Source organism: Homo sapiens, chromosome X (assembly GCF_000001405.40).
Source record: "Homo sapiens chromosome X, GRCh38.p14 Primary Assembly".
NCBI lineage: Eukaryota > Metazoa > Chordata > Mammalia > Primates > Hominidae > Homo > Homo sapiens.
The window spans coordinates 86,810,538-86,834,522 of NC_000023.11; the positions used below are offsets into that span (position 1 = coordinate 86,810,538).

At 34.8% G+C, this 23,985-nt stretch overlaps 1 protein-coding gene across 8 annotated transcripts in view; it reads left to right on the top strand.

Annotated features, from left to right (window-relative positions):
• DACH2 (dachshund family transcription factor 2) overlaps window positions 1-22,065 on the top strand; it is a 684,152-nt gene extending 662,087 nt beyond the window's left edge. For 3 of the 8 annotated variants that reach the window (NM_053281.3, XM_017029255.2, NM_001139515.1), the window contains 5 exons: window positions 2,319-2,467; window positions 2,593-2,740; window positions 4,151-4,297; window positions 5,497-5,562; window positions 21,569-22,065. In NM_053281.3, the coding sequence (NP_444511.1) occupies window positions 2,319-2,467; window positions 2,593-2,740; window positions 4,151-4,297; window positions 5,497-5,562; window positions 21,569-21,618 (560 nt within the window). In that variant the 3' untranslated portion in view covers window positions 21,619-22,065. Of the gene's footprint in view, window positions 1-2,318; window positions 2,498-2,592; window positions 2,741-4,150; window positions 4,298-5,496; window positions 5,563-17,228; window positions 17,276-21,568 lie in introns of those variants that run through there. The other 5 variants (XM_011530846.3, XM_017029254.2, NM_001139514.1 and 2 more) reach the window with 4 other exon arrangements.

Here is a 23,985-nt window from a genome sequence, read left to right on the forward strand (position 1 = left end):
TTCCAGCTATTATAAATATTGATATATCATCATTATAAAGTCATTCCATCCACTTAATGCATTCACGTGGAGAAGAAAAAATACTACTTAAATGTAGACATCAAACAATGCAATTGAAGCATAACACTGTGGTTAATTGTTGAGAAATGTGCCTTAGAAACCTTAGATCTGCTGCCTAAGACATGTTTTAATAGTGTTTTTATGAGATAATACTTCAAAAGAAACCATGTAGCTGAATAAGGTCACAGAATTTGTGATAATGTGCTGATTCTCTCTGGAATAATTTACCTCTTCTAAACCTACCACTGACTTTATAAAAAAAAAAGTAGAGAGGCAAATGTCTTGTAAGAGTTTAGCGTTAATTTTAAATAGAGTTACGTAACTAGAGTATGAAAATAAACTACGAGTGAGTTGTAGAAAACATTTGCATCTGTGAACAAAATATTGTTTTCAAAGCTTTACTAAAAAATAATTCCTAGGAAGTTATTCTCATAGCTTTCTGTGCTAAAGAAAATTAATGGTATAGTTCATGCATTTTATTGAATTATTTAAGGTCAATAAACAAATGCTCTTTTTAATATTTGGATTCAAACAGTGTGAAACTGTTGACTCTAATATAATCATATAGCATTTTTTTAAATTGCTATTGGTTTGGAAAAATAAAAAATGTAAAGGTGATATATAGTAAGAGCCTTTTATTCAGAGATAGTACTAAATAATCTCACTGAAGTTTCCCACAAATGAATGGCACAACTTGCCACACAAGAAATTCCACAGCAAAAGGTAACTGTTAAATTAATGGGGCTCAAGACTCTGCACACTGCATATGTAGGCTGCTTGCAATAGGAAAATGAAGTCCATATTCCATACCTATAGGAACCAGAACCAATAGACATCTTTTTTTGTTTCCAAACCATGTGAAATTGGTTATGTCTAGATTTAAGCCAAGTCTTTTTTCTTGAGTGAGTCTCATTAGAATATATGGAGTCACTGAATGTTTTTTCTGACCAGAGAGATGCATACTTTTTAAACTTTGCCTGTGCTCTCTTGCTGAAATTAAGATACTCCAGTGAGCAGCATAACTGTTTGAGGTGCTATGATTCACCCCATCATGCACTGCTGATGAACTCAACTAAGAGTAACTGAATTTCTTTCGTTAACATCCCGAGATTACCTCTCTGTGGCAGTTTCTTTTTACATACGTAGTTACAGAAGAAAATTTATCTAATTCGTACAGGTCATATGAAAGACTGTCAGCCAGAATAACCAAGTATTCAGGGTTCTCAAAGTAGGAGGGGATTCCCTTTATAATTAGGTATATCTGTTTTAAAGCAAATATAAAACATATTTATAAACAAAAATTCTACTCATAGCTCTTTATAGAGTAATGAGAATATTGAAGAATACAACATAAAAATAAAAGAGAGAATAGATGTAACTTGTGATTTTATGTCATACGTGTTATTTTCTGATAAGGGATATTCCATGAAATAAAAAGTAACACTGGAAACAATCCAAATAGTCATCAACTAGAAAATGTTTAAACGCAAGCTAGTATATTCATGAAACAAAATACTATTCAGCAATAAAAATAAACTACTGATACCTGCCACAACATGGATAAGCTTAAAAAACATGCTAAGAGAAAGAAGCCAGGCACAAAAAAACCATGTATCGTAGGATTCTATTTATATGAAACATTCAGAAAAGGCAAATCTTTGGAGATAAGGCAGATTAATGGTTTTTAGGGGCTGAGGTGGGAAAGAAGATTAACTGTAAATGGACATGAGGAGTCTTTATAGGGGAAATTAAGATGTTCTAAAATAGGTTTGTGGTAATGATTAGACAACTCTAGAAATTTACTAAAAATGAAGTGTATACTTAAAATAGGTGAATTTTATTGTATGTAAATTATTTTTTGATAAAGCTGTTAAAATAATCAAGATAAATAAATTGATTGATTAATAGATTTAGAGAGGAAAAAATAAAATGTTGCTTGTTTTTCCAGGAAGTGATCTGAATATTTAATTTATAGATATTCATAAGCACATATTGTCAATTGTATGTATCTTAAGTTTTTTCTCCAGATTTCATACCTCTTTAGCCATAAGCATTGTTTCAGTTTCACAAGTTCTTTACTGAAATATTTATTTTTTGAAATTAGAGGCAGCTGGAGAATAAATATGACTTCTAATTATGAGAATGTCAGTCATTTAGTTTTAGAAACAAAATCTTTATAGATGCTTAGTAGAGGTGGCTTAGTGAGACTTTTGAGCTCTTAATCTGTGAACCTTCTGATACTAATTTTGTTTTTGCAGAAGAGGTACCAGTTCAAATTCCAATAATGAAGTCACCCTTGGACAAGATACAGCTGACTCCTGGGCAGGCATTGCCCGCTGGATTCCCTGGACCATTCATTTTTGCTGATAGTCTGTCCTCCGTGGAGACTCTGTTGACCAACATTCAGGTCAACAATATTTCTATAAACAAAATAAATGTAATACAAGACATTAGCACCTACATATATTATTTTATATTTGATAAATTAAAACAGATAAGATGAACTGCATGTCATTTCCTGTACCTTGACAGGGTCTGCTGAAAGTTGCTTTGGATAATGCTCGCATCCAGGAGAAGCAGATTCAACAAGAAAAGAAGGAGCTGCGACTGGAGCTCTATAGAGAGAGAGAAATTAGAGAAAACCTTGAAAGACAACTTGCAGTTGAGCTTCAAAGCAGAAGTAAGTTTTACAAGTTCAATTACAGAGTGAATATTATGTTGGGGGTATTTTCAATACTAATGGAAATATTCTCCAAGATATCTTGGAGGCTGAGGCGGGAGGATCACGAGGTCAGGAGATTGAGACCATCCTGGCTAACACGGAGAAACCCCATCTCTACTAAAAATACAAAAAAAAAAAAAAAATTAGCTGGGCGTGGTGGTGGGCGCCTGTAGTCGCAACTACTCGGGAGGCTGAGGCAGGAGAATGGCGTGAACCCGGGAGGCGGAGGTTGCAGTAAGCCGAAATTGTGCCACTGCACTCCAGCCTGGGCGACAGAGCAAGACTCCATCTCAAATAATAATAATAATAATGGTAATAATAATAATAGTAATAATAATAATAATAATGATAACATAGCTACATGAAACCTTGGAGGTCACTTACCTTGGTCCCCTGGCCAACTATATGGTCCTTCGGCTTTGAAACAACTACCTATGTGATCTTTGGTCTTCAGGCTTTGTTCAGGCTTTGAAAACTAGTAGCTATGTTATCTTGGGTAAATTTCTTGACCTGTCAAGGACTCAGGTTCTTCATCTATAAAATAGAGATAAAAGTGTTTTTCTTACTTGAAAGTTTATTTTTATGACTGGCAGCACAGTAGATTTATTTGCACCAGCATCACCACATACCCACTAGTAATGCATTGCACTAGGACATTAGGATGACTACAGTGTCACTAGGTGATAGGAATTTCGCGCTCCATTATAATCTTATGGAACCACCATTGTATATGCGGTCCATCATTGACGGAAATCTCATTATGCAGCCTATGACTGTATATGCACATACAGAGAAAGAGCAAGAGAGAGGCAGAGAGAGAGAGAGACTGATGATATGTACATTAAACAGACAGATATTTCCCTTTAGAACTGGTAACATTTCAGATAAATGGACACTTGCCATTTTCAGTTTTAAAGACTATATTTTGCAACCTAATAGATATTTTCAGGATTATTTTTGCGTTTTGAAATATGAATAGTAATCAGTAACCTGATGAATAATAAGAATATTTTTCTTAAGAGGATTACAAAATGTTTAAAGAATCATTAAATGCATATAGAGAGTCAAAGTAGAAGACAATTCTCCACCACCACTACCACCATCATACAAATGCATGTGTATTACAGAACATACACTCTGGAAATGTGAAAATAGAAAGAAGTCAGTTGTATGACTGAAATACAGTAAATAAAGCACTCCTTAGATGACCCTAATGAGCATTAGTACCAAAAGAACGCTAATCATATGTCAAGTGAAATATTTCTATATCTCTCTTTATCTATACTTATATCTGTGGCTTATAATTCATCAAAACTGGCATCCCTATTTCATTGCTCAAGTCTTTGCAAACTACCTTTTACATTTCAGCTACTATGCAAAAGCGCCTGAAGAAGGAGAAAAAAACCAAGAGAAAATTGCAGGAAGCCTTGGAATTTGAATCAAAGCGCCGGGAGCAAGTGGAGCAGGCACTTAAGCAAGCCACCACTAGTGACAGTGGCCTGAGGATGTTAAAAGGTAATGTCTGATTTGGATTTTCACACTCAAGGTAAACAAAGCAAAACTGATTGAAGAAAAATAGAAGAAGGAATAAAAAGAGAGGAAGGCAGAAAGAAAGGAAGGGAGAGAGGGAAACACAGACATATTTTGTCCAGGAATGATTAAAAAATCAATTTGAGGCCAAGTGTTTTAGATCATGAATTAAATCCAGTCAAAATAATCACTGTTCAGGAGAAACAAATAGCCTTGGAATAATAGGAAGTCCTACTGACTTTTGCAGTAGAAGCAATAACACTGATAACCACCCTGCACCTAAAATGTAGGTGGGTTAGGTCCATTCCTGTTAGAATATGCTGATGTTTGGTGAACTGTATTGTGATTAGCTATACAATGCTTGTTCCTTTAATGCAGATTGCATCAGTGTTGCCATGCCTAAGGAGTACCAGGTTGAAAAAACATGTTCTAAGTAAATCCCTGCAGATCCTGTAAATGGAGATGCTTGAATTATGAAAGATCTTAATTCCAAACTTTTCTGCTTCCATTTTTAATTCTGAGGCCTCATAACATTGTTTCATCTCACTCAGACCCAATTTCAAGTAAATGTTCAAGTAAATATGTACACACACAAACAGAACCTTTTTACATCAAAATTACTAGCTTTTACCTGAACAGCACAATCATAAAACATTTGTCCCTAGAGCCAGTACTACATGAAGACCACAAACCATAATGAGTATTTTGGTATTCAGTTGCACTTACTATATATATATATACACACACATATATGTATATACACATATTTATATATATACACATATATATAAATATGTGTATATATATGATTATATATATATCATAAATATTATCAATCACATCTTACAAAGGGAACATATACCATGAGGATGGGGGCAAGTTAACCTGATAGTCTTAGGAGGTTTTAATGGACAGACTATTTTCCTAAGATTTATTTTTAAAGAATAAAAAAAATAGAGGTATTTACAATATACCTAGAAATATATGCTCAATTGTAAAATTCAGCTGCAGTTTATAATCATCCCTCCTACCATTAAAAACAAACAGACATACAAAAAACAAAAATGCCACCCAAGGTCTTATGTTATCTATAGGACCAAAGTACTGGCTTACTGGAGTTTTCCCTTTAAATGGAATCAGGAACCACCTAATTGTATATTAATCTTGCATGTCATTTATTTCAGATACTGGAATTCCAGATATTGAAATAGAAAACAATGGGACTCCTCATGATAGTGCTGCTATGCAAGGTACAGTCAACTGAAAACTTCTTTCTTTGACTGCTTAATATGTGACCCCTGGGGATGAGGTGGGGATGAGGTGGGGATGAGCTTCTGTGATGATACTCTTCATATAAATAAAATAAATAAGTTTTGACACTTCTTACTTTATGACACAGGAAGCAATTTGCAGTTTTTTGAGAAAAAAATACTTAACATGGCTTTGAAAACCCAATAACTCTGGTTACAGAGGGACTAATAATTTTACATATACAATGTGAGCAAATACATGTAGCTGTAAAAAGAATACACATTTGTATGTCAGGCATATTCTAAAAATGCATAAATGTGAATGTAATTTATCTTTTAAAAGTGTACAATACCATGAGGTATTTTTGTAATTTCACCACTTTGCTGTTTGTAAAAGCCACAGGTACAATCATTGTAACCTATCAAAATTTTGAAGGTATTCAAGACAACATTTTTTTCATCCTTTAAATTTTGATGTTAATCTTAGAGACCACTTAAGTATGAAAATCAGAACATGACTTATAATTCGTGATTTACATGATTATCACAATTGCTTACATCTTTAAAAATATTTGAAAATATTTAGTAGTAAGAAAACAGATGAAACAAATCAATATAGAGTCTCACTGGAGTGCAAAAGCACATAAAAATGAGTTAAATGTGACCACTGAAAATTTTCCAGTGTGATTCCAATGCACTTCTAGACCTTTGCATGCAGATTACATTTATTTTCACATTTATTGTGATAAAATGCCTAACTCTAATAAAAAATAAAGAACATTTTTATGAGAAAACTATTTCCTAACTTTGAAAAAAGAAGACAACTATGAATATGTTGCTCGCTGGAATTAATCAGTGCCTTTCTCCTATGTGATGAGTGGATCTTCATAAAGGCAACAGAACTGGATGTGACCAAAATATCCATTTGGGTTCATCTAAGAGTCACCATTTTATGTGGTAGCTTCATAAGTTGTTTTACATGTAGTTTTACAAGTCATCTTTATAAAACCAGAAATGTTAGCTCTCATGGATACTCTAGTGATGCATGATTCTGTTGCAGGTGGGTAGACCTAACTAATGCACTATGTTAGGTGTAAAAGCATGCATGCTTAACTCATTCGATGAAGCTTTTGCTGGTTCTTATCCCTTTTTTGCTTGCCTACTTTATTCCCTCAGCTTAAAGGCTGTGTCTATATGAGCAAAACCAATTCAAATGGGATTCAGTGTTTGTCCAACCAATTCATCACAGCAAAATTCACTAAGAAGTGCCCCACTAGTTGTGGGCCTGGTATTTGAGGTTACCATCATATACCAGCTCCATGGTAGAGATGAATAGCCTGAAGCATTTGATCCCTTCTGAATCAGTGACATGCAAATATAGACATAGTCTTTAAGGAACATTGAACTTGATTGTGCCCTGCTTTGAGTGGGTTTAAGGTCAGCTTTGGAACTGGAGAGGGTAATCCGAATACACCACTAGTGAGTTTTATCTTTATTATCTTTTAACCTGCACCTCTGATTTATTGCTCTTTGTTTAATTTATATGATACCTTTAGTTCATAGTAGTAACATCTTTCTTAACTCTGAGAGAAATACAAGCTTTTGAACTGTCCTAAAATTATTTCATTTCCATGTAACAAGTAGTGATATTTTATTCGTGGGCAATTAGGAGATATAAGCAAAAGGTAGATCCACTCTTCGTTTCCAAATTCTTTTATGAAGTCTACCAAGAATGGATTTTGCATATTTACTTGCACTTAGGAAAGGACACATTTAATACTTGTTTTCATTGTGCATACTTTTAATAAGTTCTACAAGTTTTTACTTGCTAAATATGAGATAGTTAGATTCATCTTAAAAGGAATGAGATGTAATTTATTTTAAAGCAAAGAAATTGGTTTGTATTTTTTTCCAAATTAAAAATGACACTGTCTAGTATTTGTCTTTAACATTGTCTATATATGGTAAAATATGGTAGGTTAATAATTCTTTATTGGATGTCTGTCTTTTATATTACATTAAATAAGGTTCCACATAAATGTGATAAAAATGGAAAAATACACATTATCGCTTCTCTTTGCACGACATTTAAGCACTGTAAATGATAAAGCCCCTATCATCTCCTTATGAAAAACTATAGTTAATGTCTTATGTTAATATGACAGTAGAATCACAATTTAATCAAAAAAATTTAGCAATAATGTTTTATTCTTTTAGCCAGGAAAATAGGTGCCTACAAATATTATCAGAACTAATCTTAAATAGAGTTTACCAAATCAGTCAGGTCAAATAATTATCTAAAAATCCCAATCATTTTGCCTATTATTTGTAAAATAATAAAAAGTAATAAAAACATTACTTTTGAATGTATCTGTGAAACTCAGAAAATGTATAATGTTGGAAAACATGAAATGCAAGCTTAGCCATTATTTTTCTATTCTTCCTAATAATTTTGATTTTGTAAGTTATAGTTCTTTTTTGTGACATTTTGATACTGTTTTAATCTTTTCCATCTCCCTTGAAACCTGTTTTTTAACTTGGAAGATCATTTCCTATCATTGTTTGTGAGAGTCAGTTCATGTATACCAATGCAATACCATTTCCAAAATTCATCTCCATCACAGGAAATAATTCCAGCATCAGTAAAGTTCTTTCTCTTCCTGTTGTTCAATAGCTCTCCTAGATAGAAATCTATCATTCACCTAGTACTCTCCCTTTGAGATTCAGTTGATTCCACTGTGACATCTTAAGAATTTAAAAGGCACTTGGAAAAACATTACATGGCCACTCCTGGAAGCAAAAAAGTAATATCCAGTTTTATGGTAATTTCCACATGGGTTTTAGTGCAGACAAACTGCACATGTACCAGAAATCTTATATATATAAGATTTTATATATATTTACTATATATAGTATATATACATAATGTATCCTATATAATGTATTACATGTAATACATTATATGTATATAATACATCTCTTCAGCTTGGTTATTTCATGTCTTTTATGCTTTGAATGTTGTTTGACAGAGACGATAATATGCATAGACCAAGTTTCCATAAAAGGATATCTGTATCTTTATATTTTCGGAGTCTACCATAGCAACTCCTACAGAATGTTTTCTGGTGATCACGCAATGTGTATATACTACTCCAATGGTTATGTCCACTATCTCTAGAGATGAAGGATTTGGTGGAGCACTTGTGCTAATGTCATTCCATCCAAATTCCTATAACTCAGTTGAGGGCCTGCAAGATAGCACATCAACCATCTTATCAACCAATCCCTGTTTCACATAAAATAAACATACCGAGTGTCATTAAGTGCACCTTCAGATCAATGATATTTTTGCAAATGACATTCAAGTGCCATTTGCATAGTGCATTTTTGCTGATAAAAGCAAATTAAATTAGCACAACTACAAGTGTGCTGATAAAAACTAAAACTGAACAGCAGTACCATTAGCTAACAAAGTAATATTTCTTTTTACTGCATTCTGCCATTTAGTTATTATCCTATTGGAAATCTAATTATAATCCTTTTACTCCCCAGTCAAACTTCACAGTTTTTGCAAGCTTAGCACTGACAAGTGATTTCATTACATTTGATTGCCTGCGCCCAGATTGACTTAACTTCACTTGGAGACCTAAAAACCCTCTCAGTTTCTCAGATTCCCTGTTTGCACATTACTGCAACAGCTCCTTTAATTAATTAGCATGAACAGCAGTAACATGAACTGCTGAACAGAAAATAACATCATTTTATGATCTCAGGGAGACTTCTCCTTTTGCATGTTTATACCTTAGTTAACTTGTGTATGGCTATATTTCATTGTTAGTGGCTAGTGGTATAGTAGACAGTGCATGTTTCCTAAATTTAAAAAAAATGAAGTTAACATCTTAATAACAATAGGTAAAACAAAAACAGAATATGAAGCTCCTACATTTTAGAAAATAGACAACTGCCATCATGAACTGACTTTATAGTAATAAAATAAAATACTAAAGTTCAGGGGAGATAACGTCATAAAGTACAAGGGCACAGTGACATACTGCCCCTGTATCTGCCACTGCATTTGTTTGGGGAAAAAAAATAAACCACAAAATGAGTAACTGTGTTTTGCCCATGGAATGTCAATTTCTGTGAATAATTTTTACATTTTATTTTATGTATACATGTTTGACAAAGACACAAGATGATTTAGCACTGGAATATATTTTCCTCTGATATTTTTTCCATAAATGTGGTGGCATCCTAAATAATTTTTTATTCCTTTTGCTACTGACACACTAGAAGTAGATATTAAGTCAAATCTACATGTGAAAGGAAACCAAAATTTGATGTAAAAGTAAACCTACTAGACCTTTTTTTTTTCCTGAACCATTTTTGCTCAGAAAAAAGGGATCTTATTAAGAGTACAGACTGGCCATTCAAAGATATAAAAGTCATGATCTCATCTATGCAGTAACTGATGAAGCTGCCACTGAAGAATTAAAAACAAAAAAAGTGTCATTTGACTGCAAAAGCAGCAAATATCATTTTAACATCTATTATAATATATTAAAATTTACAATTTAGGGCATAAGTTAATATGCATACCTTATGGCGTAGAACATTTAATATATATTCATAATATAAAATATATGTGAATATGTCTATTTTTATCAATTCTCTCAAAATCAATTTGAACAGTGTCTATCCTTCCTTGACCCCTTAGACCTCCTTATTATCTTTTCTCTTTGGCACTTGCTTACTAACCTAAAACAACATTCCTCCCAAGAAGTTAAGATGCCATGCCAATATTTCCTAAAAACAACTACCCTTGGAATAGGATTATCATTGTAGAATTTGGAAGAATAGTAAGAAAAAGTGATAGTAAGAGTGTGAAAGGGAGCCAGAAAAAATAAATCGCATATGATTTATTGCCATGTATGTGATATGACAAGAGAAACTAAAAGGAGAACAGATGGAATTTTATTATAGACTTTTCTAATTTCCTCCACCACAGTGTGCTCTCCATCTTTCTCTATCTCTAGGGGTTCCACTGACTGCTTCCTACCCTAAACTCACCAACCATTAATTATTAATTTCCCTCCCATTGATGCCCGGTACTGTGTTGGAAGATATACACAGGTACTCTGATGTTCCCATTGTAAAGTGAAAATATTTTCTTATAAATTGGAGGTATATAGCAAGTCAGAGACCAGAGGAATTGTGGGAAGTAGGTCTTAAAAATTTTCTTTTAAATGCTTCCTTGAAGAGTAGGATCCTTTTATTTCCTAGAGAAACTTTATTGCAATGACAATGATACAATGGGAAAAGACTCTAGCACACAACCCACAGAGAAGATCCCAGCATCTTTTTCTAAAGCAGCAAAAATTTTTTCTGTACAGTTTATTAAATGGCCTGTGTCTTTTTATTTTCTTTCTCAGAAAGTATTTTCTCCTTTCTTCATCCTCCACAGGATTTTTATCCTGACTGGTGGTACCTCTCTGCTGTGAAATATCTGTCAGACCATAGTACACATTATACTTCTAATTTTTTCTTAGGAGGATGGGAAGAGCTCACATTAATTACTTAATCGTTCAGGGCCTGGTTGTCAAGGATTCGCTTGCACCACACACATGCATTGTTAACAAAAATATTTTCAGTGACCACAAGACTGTCATGGTAATTATGATGGTAACATACAATCTCATATACAGATCAAAGACGTGCAGTTCTAGCTACATGTTAATTATATAACAGATCAAATTGCAGTGATAGCAAATAGTGAGACTTGCCAGCCATGATAAGTTGTTCTGCTAGTCAGCATGTTGAGTCTACAGGAGTAATTCACTAATTAACAGGTGTTTTTTACTATAATCTAGGAAGGGCTGTTTAACTTAACTCTGATAACTGCTTGACCAGTTACTTTATGCCCCATCCTGTTTATATATACAATACAATTTTTTAAGCTTGGGATTCACCATATGCCAACCCCAACCTAGGTATACCTGAAGGACATGCAAAAGGAAAAACATTTTCCTGATTAAAAGACTAAGTCAAGTTTTACTTTTTTACTTCCACATTTGTGTTTTAATAAATAAAACAAACAGCATTTTCATAGAAGACTGTAATCATATGCCATCATTTTCATAGTACCTTAAAAATTAAAATTATGGTATTGCTACCACACGAATCTGTGGAGGTTCTGTTCCAAGATACTCATCATTCTGAGAATGAGGAATTCATAACCTAAAATTGGAATAGTGAAAAAAGAAAGGCAGGACCTATTATATGTATAGCATGGTGTACTTTGTGTTATCCTTTAAATAATATCCTCTAGGAGGATTATTTCTGGGAGGTAGTTTGGAAAGATGTGATTAACTTCTGTTTTGTAAGTATGAAAATAACCTAAGTTAATTTGCTTGCCATTGACAGTGGGAACTAAAACACAGGAATCTTAACTCTCACTCATTTATCTCACTGTGCATCACTATCAATCCATTCTTGTAAAAATCTCACATAGTTAGCTAGTTAGGATATGTAACAAGACTATAGTATTTTCCCATGCAAAACAGTGCATTGGGGTTCAGGGAAAGGGCAGAGGCTTCTTTACATCATAGTTAATTAAACGAAATAGTCTAAAACCGGGTGTAATTTAATAATCACCTCTGTTTTTAAAAGTTTATAAAGATTGGGGTAATATTTATAAAATTTAGACAAATACCACACAACTCCCTTTTCTATTTAAAACTGTGTGGAGTAGCTGAAATAGTAACAGAAATAAACTTTTTTATTCTTACTAAACTCACTTCACTCTGTCTGTCAGAACTAGATTCCAACAGAGCCTTGCTATCTAATTTTACATTTTATTTTTTTTTATTTGTTGAGACGGAGTTTCATGCTTGTTACCCAGGCAGGAGTGCAGTGGCATATCGGCTCACTGCGACCTCTGCCTCTCAAGTTCAAGCGATTCTTCTGCCTCCGCCTCCCAAGTAGCTGGGATTACAGGTGTGGGCCACCACACTCAGCTAACTTTGAATTTTCACCATGTTGTTCAGGCTGGTCTCAGGCTCCTGACCTCAGGTAATCCACCCGCCTCAGCCTCTCAAAATGCTGGGATTACAGGTGTGAGCCACCACTCCCAGCCACTTAACTAATTTTAGACTGGGATTCCTTATGCAGCATTAGCATAAAGTTTTATTTATTTGTTCTAGGGAACTTATTTTTCATTTATAATAGACATGTAACATTACCTTTTGGAAATTAAAATGAATTTAAAGAAAAACATTCTTTTGGATTTTATACACAACTCCTTTAAGGCCCCTAACCTCTTGACCCTTTCAAGTTTACATTTTACTTTTTTAATATTTGAAAATTAACATTGGTAATGATCCACATACTTCAGCTGGAATCTACTTTTTGTCAGTAATGCAAATGATTTTTGGAGCAACATTTCCACCAATTACTTTATTAGCTTTCAAGAAAGCATCATTATTTTACAAACATTTCTTTCTTATCTTCCTGTTCTTTCACTATCAGGGGAACCCGCCCCCAATATTTCAACATAGGTTCTTTCTATTTTCCATAAGTGTCGGCTGGCTGAGAAATAAAGAGAAAGAGTACAAAGAGAGTAATTTTACAGCTGGGCCACCGGGGGTGACATCACATATTGGTAGGACCGTGATGCCTACCTGAGCCTTAAAGCCAGCAAGTTTTATTAAGGATTTCAAAAGGGGAGGGGGTGCAAGAACAGGGAGTAGGTCACAAGATCACATGCTTCAAAGGGCAAAAAGGAGAACAAAGATCACATGCTTCTGAGGAAACAGGACAAGGGCAAAATCAGAAACTCCTGATAAGGGCCCAACAAACATCACAAGGCAAAGGGCAAAAGCAGAATTACTGATAAGCGTATATGTTCAGCAGTACACATATTGTCTTGATAAACATCTTAAACAACAGAAAACAGAGTTTGAGAGCAGAGAACCAGTCTGACCTCAAATTTACCAGGGCAGGGTTTTTCCCCACCCTAGTAAGCCTGAGGGTACTACAGGAGACCAGGGTGTATTTGAGTCCTTATCTCAACCGCATAAGACGGACACTCCCAGAACAGCCGTTTATAGACCTCCCCCCAGGAATGCATTCTTCTCCAGGGTATTCATTATTAATATTCCTTGCTAGCAAAAGAATTTAGCGATATCTTCCCTACTTCCACATCCGTTTACAGGCTCTCTGCAAGAAGAAAAATATGGCTCTATTTTGCCCAACCCCACAGGTAGTCAGACCTTATGGTTGTCTTCCCTTGTTCCCTGAAAATCGCTGTTATTCTGTTCTTTTTCAAGGTGCACTGATTTAATATTGTTTAGACACACATGTTTTACAATCAATTTGTACAGTTAACACAATTATCACAGTGGTCCTGAGGTGATGTACATCCTCAGCTTATGAAGATAACAGGATTAAGAGATTAAAGTAAGACAGGGGTAAGAAATTATGAAAGTATCATTTGGGAACTGATAAATGTCCATGAAATCTTCACAATTTATGTTCCTCTGCCACGGCTCCAGCCAGTCCCTCCATTCAGGATCCCTGACTTCCTGCAACATTTCACAAATGTCTAAGTGCTCTTGTTTTCATTAAAATAATAAAAATGAATAAATGCAATGTTGATCTCAGCATCTGTGAGCAACCATTTAATAATGAGTGAGGAAAAACTCTCAATAGAGAGAACTAATAAACCCTCAAATCTTACTATTTCCTGGTAACTGCATTTCAACCTTCTATGGGAAATGTTGGATGTCATCATTTTTAACATTGTACAAGTTAATATTTGTTTATCCATTACTTTCATTTTTCACTTTCCTCTATATTTTGATTTGTTTAAAATCGAGTATTATAGTGTTCTTCTATCAGTTTAGCAGACAAAAGTAGTAGTTAAAAGTTATTTAAAAATAGAACTTAACTATACTTTAAAATGTTACCTAAAATATTTCCAATCTGCATCCTGTACAAAACTCAAATCAATTAGACTTTTAAGAAACATTTTGTGACCAGGTGCGGTGGCTCACATCTGTAATCCCAGCACTTTGGGAGACCGAGGCAGGTGGATTGCCTCAGGTATGGAGTTTGAGACCAGCCTGGCTAACATGGAGAAATTTTTAGTCTCTACTAAAAATACAAAAAATAGCCAGGTGTGATGGCACACGCCTGTAGTCCCAGCTACCTGGGAGGCTGAGGCAGGAGAATTGTTTGAACCTGGGAGGCGGAGGCTGCAGTGAGCTGAGATCACAACACTGCACTCCAGCCTGTGCAACAGAGCAAGACTCTGTCTCAGAAAAAAAAAAGGAAAAAAGAAGAAGAAAAAACATTTTGTAACTTATATGCTTATGGAAAGTGGGGGACTTGATCTCAGATTATTTAGAGATTTAGAGAAATGGCATAGAAACATAATTCACACTTTTCACTGTAGCATTATCCACAACAAGAAAATAATGAAAGAGGATGGCATTCCATATATGCCATATGTACATGTGGAGTGGCTCCTGACATAGTGTTCCATACGTGTTAGTTTTTATTTATTCTTCTCTCCCTTTCTCTCTCTTCTCAGATGAAAAATAGAATTTCAGTACTTCTAAAGCTCTTAATGTGGCTCAACAGTTGCAGATCTCTGTACTGGACATGTGCACTTCTATTGCCATTTTATAACCAGTATGTGAGAGGCACAATGAAGTGGCAGAAAGAGCACTGATCTACTAGTCAGAATTTCTCAGTTACTAACTCGCTAACTCAGTTACTAACCTTGAGAAGTCATTTACCTTCTCTCTGCCTTAACTTTAGTAAAATAGGTATCATAATACTTGCCTATTCTTCCTCATCAATAAGTTAGATACATACTATCTGATAAGTATGGCGAGTACAAGATATCATTATTACTGTGCCCTATAAAATACACTCAGATTTGATTTTGTTTTCTAATGTTGATTTCAGTAGGAGGGAACTATTTGGCCTATAAGTGATGTGTAAAACTTCCTCTAAAGAGTGTGCTCTCCCATAGATAGTTATGGTTAATGACATCTCTACATTTTATCCCCATGTGTGAGCAGAAGGGCATTCATGCTTCCTTTTTAGGGTATGTTTTCTAAGAACTAGAGATTCAATAAAGGGGAAAGGGATGTATTAAATAATTATTTCACAAAACCAGGGTGCATTACAAGTAAGATAGTTTGATACTCCATTATGACACCATTTGCACAAAAAAGATGACCTATTGACCTATCCTGATCTTCATTTTGAATAAATTGTAAGTCAGATATTTTTAAGGCTAATGAGCCCAAATGGTTATTTTCAAGAAACCTCTGTTTTTAAAAAAATATGTCATGTTCTAAAAATAAACACTAGAACTTTCTGAAAAAAAAATGATTCCAAAATAGTACTCTTCTCTAGACAAAGAGTAATCAAACAGTGTATTATATCTTCCCCTTGCTTGCAATTGTCTGCTTTTCCTACTTTCGAATTAGTAACTCATATTTATACTACTGCAATAATAACCGACTGGATCCCAAACTAACCTCACTACTGTCACTTCTTTGATTTGAGAATATCATGTTCTGAACATATTTCCACAACTAAAGTTGAGTTTCTACAATTAATTCTACATTTAATTAGGATTGAATCTAAGACTGAAGTGGAAAACAAGTGGAGCATTAACTAGCATATTATTTTATCTCTTTCTTATTCAGGTTAGGAAAACATGACCTTCAAGAGATTATCTTACTTGCTGCTAAATTATATAGTGCCCATTTGTAAATCAGAAGCACAGCACTAATTAAGCAACATAAAGAAAACATAGATTAGAAAATATTGCCAATAGTTCAAGAATAGCTTAGCTACCTCAAAAGAAAGGTTTGATAGCCTAAAGTACACCTGTGTGAATTCTACTAGTTCTCATTGCAGTCCCATTGTTTATAGAGGTAAACAACTGGTGAGGAGACATTTGGAAGCAAACATGAACCTTGGGTAGGAAAAATCACAAATGCATTTTATTGTAAATATAAACCTCTAAACACATTATAGATACAGTTCTTGGTAGTTTTTTGAAAAATAAAAAGTGAGCAATTACTTTCGAATAACCATCCTGTCAGGGAAGGAAATCTCATACTGAGGGAACATTGTGGTCATTAGCAAAGATTTTGACTCACAAAAAACAGGATAGGCCTTTACTAATGTTTTAGACTGTGGAGGAAAAAACAATTCCTAAATGCCTTGCTTATTAAGCTAGTTACGCATTTTGCTGCAGGTTGTAAAGAAGAAGAACATGCACAAGGGGCTCATAAGCATATTTTAGAGTTAGGGAATATCATTTACGCCATATTTATATTGTCAATATCACCCCTAGAGAATAAGATTAAGCTTTAAACTACTGTAAATCTACGCTTTTGCTCACTTTTGTATAATTTCATTTTTAATAAAATGAGACTCATATAAATGAATATTTGATTAAGGGATAAACCTAATAAAATAATACATTAATTGCGAGAGATATATTCAAATCTTGAACATATATAGCACAGCGAAATACTATAAAGTGAGTTTGTGGTTTTCAGTGAAGTGCATTGAGTAGATTTTGAATTTTCTTTGTTCGAATGAAATTTTGACCAGGTCTTATTGTTTTTTCTGTGCAGCCTGAACACTGATGCCGGAACTCCAACTGATCATAGGCACGAATAGGGTGCTGTAGCAGTTACCTGCTTATCTAGTGTTGTAAATTATTTAGAATTCATACTCAAATCCTTAAAATATGGAACCTTTAATTACTGTTTGTTCATTACTGATAAATAGAACCTTACACATACAGGAAAAATGTCCTAGAGAATGGGTTTCACAGGTTTTTAGGGGATAGTCATAATAATGACTGAACACATTTTACACTTCTTTAACCTCTTTCTTTCAAGGAGTTAGTTCATAGTGCTTCAAAAACATTATCACATTAATTCACACAGAATCCTAGTGGGGTAAGTAGGTGGAAGAATTTTTAAGACAGAGAAAATGCTATTTCTAAATGGTGTGAGACAAATTAAAATGCAGGCACACCTACTTTAAGCTGCAATTACTGTGAAATAACTTCTTGTCTGACCTGGTATTTAACAGGAATTATATCAGGTGGTGAATCATTTGTGCAAATGATCGATATTTGTTATCACTGCTTTGGAGCTCTCATTTCTAAAAGAAACACTTGGCCTGTAGTGTTCTCTAAGAAAATATAAGGAGCTCTAGTTTTTAGATTTTACCACACCCAGTTTTTCCTTTGAACTGTTGATGGTGGAGCAAGTCCTTTAACCCCTTTCTACTAGCACATTCCTGATTTGTAAAGAATGCAATGATAAAAACAGATACCCAAGCTGCTAAAAATACCCCTTTACTATTTTCTTCTCTCCTCCCATCCCCAATCTTGCTTCCTCTTTATTAAGCTATTAACAAGCAAACAGAATGAAAAATCTATAGGCATAAGAAAAGAGAAAGATGGGTCAGTGAGATTATGGATATTTTATACTGTTCACTCTCTGGTCTAGACATAGCCAGATTCCTAACATGTTCAAATGATTAGGAACATTTGGCTTGAATTGCCCAGGAAATGGCCTCAAATATTTTTAACTGTTTACTTAGAGGAGATCTGACCATTGGCTGGGGGCAGATACCTGTTATCATTATTTTGATGCCTACTAAAAATCTAATAGAGCAGCATTCCAATGTGTTATATGGTACTCTAATGATCAAAAAGATTTAATGCTCCTCCTAAAGTGCCCTCCTTATATTAAACAATATATAATCCATTGTGTTGTTTTCACGTCTGCCCTAGCATTAAGTTCTGATGTGACAGAAGCACCAAGCATCTCCTGCAAAAAGCCAACTGAGTTTTTATCCATTTTCTAGTAAGAGGTTCCCCATGGCAGTACATGCAATTTCTGCCGGAATGGCCACCCACTCTAAACACTTAAAAATATTACATTAATTCATATCGATGTGACATTTCAGTAATTCCAAGCTCTGAAGGAATGTTTTCTAAAGCATAAGCATTTGGATTCTGGTATTCTTCATGGGCTGTAGAAGGTCTGCTTATATAGAGTAGGTATACTGTTTTAGCCCAATTCAGTGAAATAATGCCAAATTAGAAATAAGTCATGGAGAAGGATTGAAGCAAGTCAAATAAAAACTTTTATTAATATCAAATATCTGAAATAAATAACAGTGACAGGTGACTAAAAATATAACATCCAAGAAAGTCTCATCATTAAATGGAATTTCCAAATTAAGTTACTTCAAAATAAACTAGTGTCTTTTGTTTAAATAAGTAGATAAGTTTAACTTACCTTGTTTGAACTATGAGGACTCCTCATGTGTATTTTTTTCTGGCCTTTTCCCATATATCTGCCTTGTTTATGATACATGATTTTAGCTATTCCGGCTCATAGGCTTAGGATATATACCACAGGGCAAGTCTCACATTTACTTGAGTTTGGAGCAGCTATTTGTGGCCCAGTAAAGATAACTCAACTGATTAGGAGAGGTTCATCTCCTGTGTGGAGTGTCCACACTGACCTTCTGTGTCATGGCATATGCCCATGTCAGGCAGTGCTGTGCTAAAGGAAGGATTACATGGACTTTTGTTTTTACTTTAAAAATGGTCACATTTGTATGTATCAAATTCCCCTTTTTACCTATCTGATAAATCCCAAAGCAATAAACTCTGTCAGCTCTCCCCAAATGTCAGTGTGTGTCCCTCTTTTTAAGTTCTCAAGCTCGGTAACATTCCCCTGGAGAGACTTTGTTAGTTTCTCTTCCTGATCTTTAATCTTATTGACATCCAGAGTTCATATCAGATCATCTCTGTTTAGAGCTCAAGAACAAACCCTTATAAGAACATGAAACATTCCATTACTAATTAGCTGTTTCCTGTTCCTAATGAAGCGAGCACACTGGGTCTGGATTAAAATTCAGCTACTACTCCTCTCTGTTTATGGTTCCAGATGTTTTTGGTTTATGTAGGAGATTACTTTGACAGCTACTACTAAGTGATAAATCACTCATATTATAGCTGAAATGCATTTTGAAATTGAAATGTGGCAAACTTTGAGATTGCTCCAAGGATCAGTGTCAGCAGTTCATTACTGGCATCTTCCTTATGATCATTCAGCATTGGCACATGTAAAACAGTAACCAAATATGTGTCAACATTATACAACATGCTACACAGGGGTCTGTTTCGCTACTGTCCTCAAAATTGGGAGAAAAAGTTTTACTACGGTGAAATCTCAATTTATTGTATTCTGGTAGAAAAGTTGATTCACTTAATATTGTTTTCTTCTTGCTAGCCTAGTTTTTCTTTCAATTTTTGAGCAGCTATGGGAACTATTCCTAATAGGCCTTGTAAGCAGACACATAAAGGATGTGGGCAAATATTTCTGTCTCTAAATAAAGGCAAGAAATAAACATAACAAAAGTAGAAATTTTTCAGAAACTGCATTTTTCTAAAGGACAAATGGTGATTGTCTTTCGCTATTCATTGCTGAGTTCATGTACCCTTTTTAAGGGGACATAGTGTGTGCTATTGCTTTCCAGTTTGTAATGTTCACAGTTTGTGTTGCATGATTTAAGCTTTAGCTATATTGTATAAATTTCAATCCTGGTAAAATGACTGTCATTTCATGTCAAAGAGCTTTCCTTTGACATTTAGGCTGTGTATACAAAGGATGAGGTAGACTGGAGGACTGAGCAAATATTTGGTCAATTCATCAGAGTAAATATTCTCAGACTCCACAAAGGAGTTGGAACAATTACCAGTGTCCAAAAATTCAAGCTTTGTTTTCTTCTGGTCCCTGGAAAAGTTTAAGTGAATTCCATGGGCTTCTTGGGAAAATGTCTGGTTGCCCTCTGATGAAGTCCAACCCTCCATAAGTCTGACTAACCCAAACCCCAAATCTTTTATTCATCTATTACCTTACTACATCTTTATTTTTGGTTCTGAGGTATTATCTAGAAAATTCTGCCACTCACCATGATACCTTATACACAGAAAGAATAAAGATTTTAAAGATATTATACACAAGGTTAAAAAAGGGTATACTTTCCTCCTAATAAGCTTGACCAGATTGACTTAATATTTTAGATTAGACATATTAGTCCAACAATGATAATGTCCTCTCCATTATATGTGAAAATAAAGCACTTGACTCAGAAACATTATCTTTAAGTATTTCTCAAGCACAGGTAATGGATTTGTACGGATTCATCCACATTTCTTTTCCTACTTCTTTTGTAACCAAAAGCCAATCTTTGTGATGTATCTAAATAGAGACTCAGGTTATAAGCCATTGCTATGGAAAATAACAAGGTTTGACAAAAAGAGGTAGAATAAATTTTTTTTTAAAAATTTCCAACAATAACTTTTACCCACCCAAATTAAATATTATCTAACTCTAGGATGGCATGGGCTCTTTTAATGACTATCATTTAGAGGGATACCGGTTTGACTAAACACTGTAGCTGAAACGATATTCCAAACTAGTCTCCCTTCATGCAGTATACACAGTCTCAGGGTTAACCCGGGAGAGGAAATTTTAAATGTACAAAGCTGTCATTATCTTAGATCATAACCAGATACTCTTTTCCCCCTGTTTTGGTAAACCACAGGGATGGTATTTCAGATGCACCATTATATACAAAAAAAAAAGTAATATAGATTATTACAGACATTATAATATAGTTCATGAAGAGCCTTTATCAGTCTTCAATGTCTCCGGTGCTGTGGAAAGAAGAACAGAAGCTATAGCATGAAATTTGAAGGATCTTTGAAAACTGACAGATGAAAATATAGAAATGTTAAGAAATGTTAAATTTTACCAACACTAAATTGAGCCTGTTACATCAGATCATTTTAGGTTCCTGAAGATAGAAGTTTTAGTATTTTTAAGCACGTATCAGAATGACTCTTCATAAGAACTAACTTGTTTTCTTTTTTTTTAAGGAGGTAACTATTACTGTTTAGAAATGGCACAACAGTTGTATTCAGCCTGAAAGGTCCTCGCTGGCTTTACATAAATGAAGATGCTTGTGATTCCAGTTTATCTCTGAAACTATTCAACATGGAGTTATTTCAGTTTTGTTTATCAGCAAAGCTTTGTTTACTGAAGGAGCTATTTAATCTATGTTACATTAAAAAAGAAACGCGTGTACATTTTAAAAGCAATGATGTAAACTTTGTTCTTGCATTAGACTGACCAGTTTAAAAATATGAACTAAAACCTAATGGCTAAAGTAACTTGACCATATTTGATGCTTTTCTATGCTCATTTCAACTTGGCTTTTTGTCTTTTAAATTTTTAAAAAATGCAGTAGTGTGTTAGAGACTAGAAAGTTATATGTATGGTTTCCCTGTTCTACTATACATAACGTTAAAGTACACCTTCTTTGTTAAAAATGTACTTGCTAAACTTCAGCGTAAATAAAAACATTTTGACTTTGTCAATTGTCACTGAGTATTTCTTTTCAAACTGCCAACTGCAGTCATTGAAACATATAGTAGAGTCAGTGCAAATCAAAATACGGGAACTAGCCAGATGTTTGCAAATCTTCCTCTAGTTTTGTTATTTTCAAGCAGATAGGAACACAGTTCTTATTTCAGTTCATCTGTTTAAACAGGCTGATATTCCTGTCCTCAATTGTTGTATTGATTCACACTGGATTGCCTTTTCCTAGTTATGTGTGCTTAGTGAACCTGCTTCCAGGAGGAAGGGTTACACTGGGAAGCAGGAAAAATGGGTGCACCAAGAACTAGAAAATATTTTCTGAGTATTTGTTATCATCAAAAGTTTATTCTAGAGTCACCTACACTAAAAAGCAAACAAAAATGGAAGGGGTATATCTTCTCTGGCCCCCCAAAATATCAAGTCTCTTTGTACGTCCAAGTGCCTATCACAGTGTAGTGAAAAACCAAGGCCAGTTATAGCCCTGCCCTACAGTTTATTTAATCTGTGCTCTTACTTTCTCTTGGTTCACTTCTGGTAAAATACTGGAGCTCACTCAAATTCTGGTTGACTATAAAACCTCTCAGGTTTTCCTATGAAGCGGCAGTGACACTCCCACTCCTTGCCTATCTTTTGAAATGTATTGTATCTCACAGTGTTCTAGCTGGTCACCCAATGACTGTAGGTCTTCTACTTTGGAACCATGTTGGTAAATCCACAGATGTTTCTTCTCACTATCATGTCCACACCATCCTTGTTTATGGAAATCTTGAGAGTCCTGACAGGACTACAAGCTCTTTCTGTGTTATAAAGGACAAAGATCCCTAAGATTTTGGTTTGCTAAGTAGGCCTGCTCTGGTAGCATACTATAGCCCCTGCCATAATACACAAAGCAAGTCCTCAACAGGCAAACATATGATATTCATGCTTGCACTATTTAAAAGTCAATCTAACAATCAAGGAAAGCATGTGCTAGTAGCTGCCCTACTCTCAGGTATTCAGGTGCCTAATGCTGCCTGTGGGTTTATCTCACCTGGTAGCAGTTATTTGCACTGGCTTAACATCAATGGACATCATTTGATTTTGGGTCCCATGGATGGTTAGGACTTCTAAGGAAGTGAAAGCAATTATAGGACTCTTCTGGTTATTTGAAAGCCCACTTAATTGACCCATCAGAAGAAACTGAAACAGAAAAATATTGGGAGTGAGACCCACCATATACCTTCAAGTTTACTGGGATAGGATTGCTTGTCATTTCAATGCTACCCCTTGACAACCCTTCCACATCCTCCTCTTCACAACCACCTCCCTCCTCCAACAACATAGGAACCTTAGCCTTAAGAAAAGGAACTGGGTCAAGGATAAGAATTCTGTCATTGCTGGATGGTGGTTTCACTGCATATCAATTCTTTCTCAGTAAACAATTTTCTCCTAGGGTTGGGAGGATCCACATTACATTATTTTCCTTTGCACTCTCTTTGGAGAAAATACAGTTTATGTTCATCCTGGAAATATGGCTGTAGGAGTTGGATCAGCCTCATGCAAATTCTATGGTCTCTGACTTCCTTAAATTCACTAATCATGGAGTAAGGGTGAGGGATCACAGCTGCTCCCACCACCAGACATACTCAAGACACTGTCATCTATAATTACAATCCTAGTTTGAGTGTCTTCCCATACCTTACAAGTCACCTAATCTTTTTGCCAGATACAGCTGTTTCTGTTCTTCCCAATGTATGCCAATCATGTATAATGCTATTTATATATAACTGAACCCCTATGTATTTGGTTATAAAGGCCTCTCTCGCCCAGCAAACACTAGCATTGTGCCCTCTTACTTAGGGATAGGTGTCGATGTGGATGGAGTTCTAAAAATAATTTAAAATAGAATATGAGATTAGGGAGTGAGTGTGAGGGT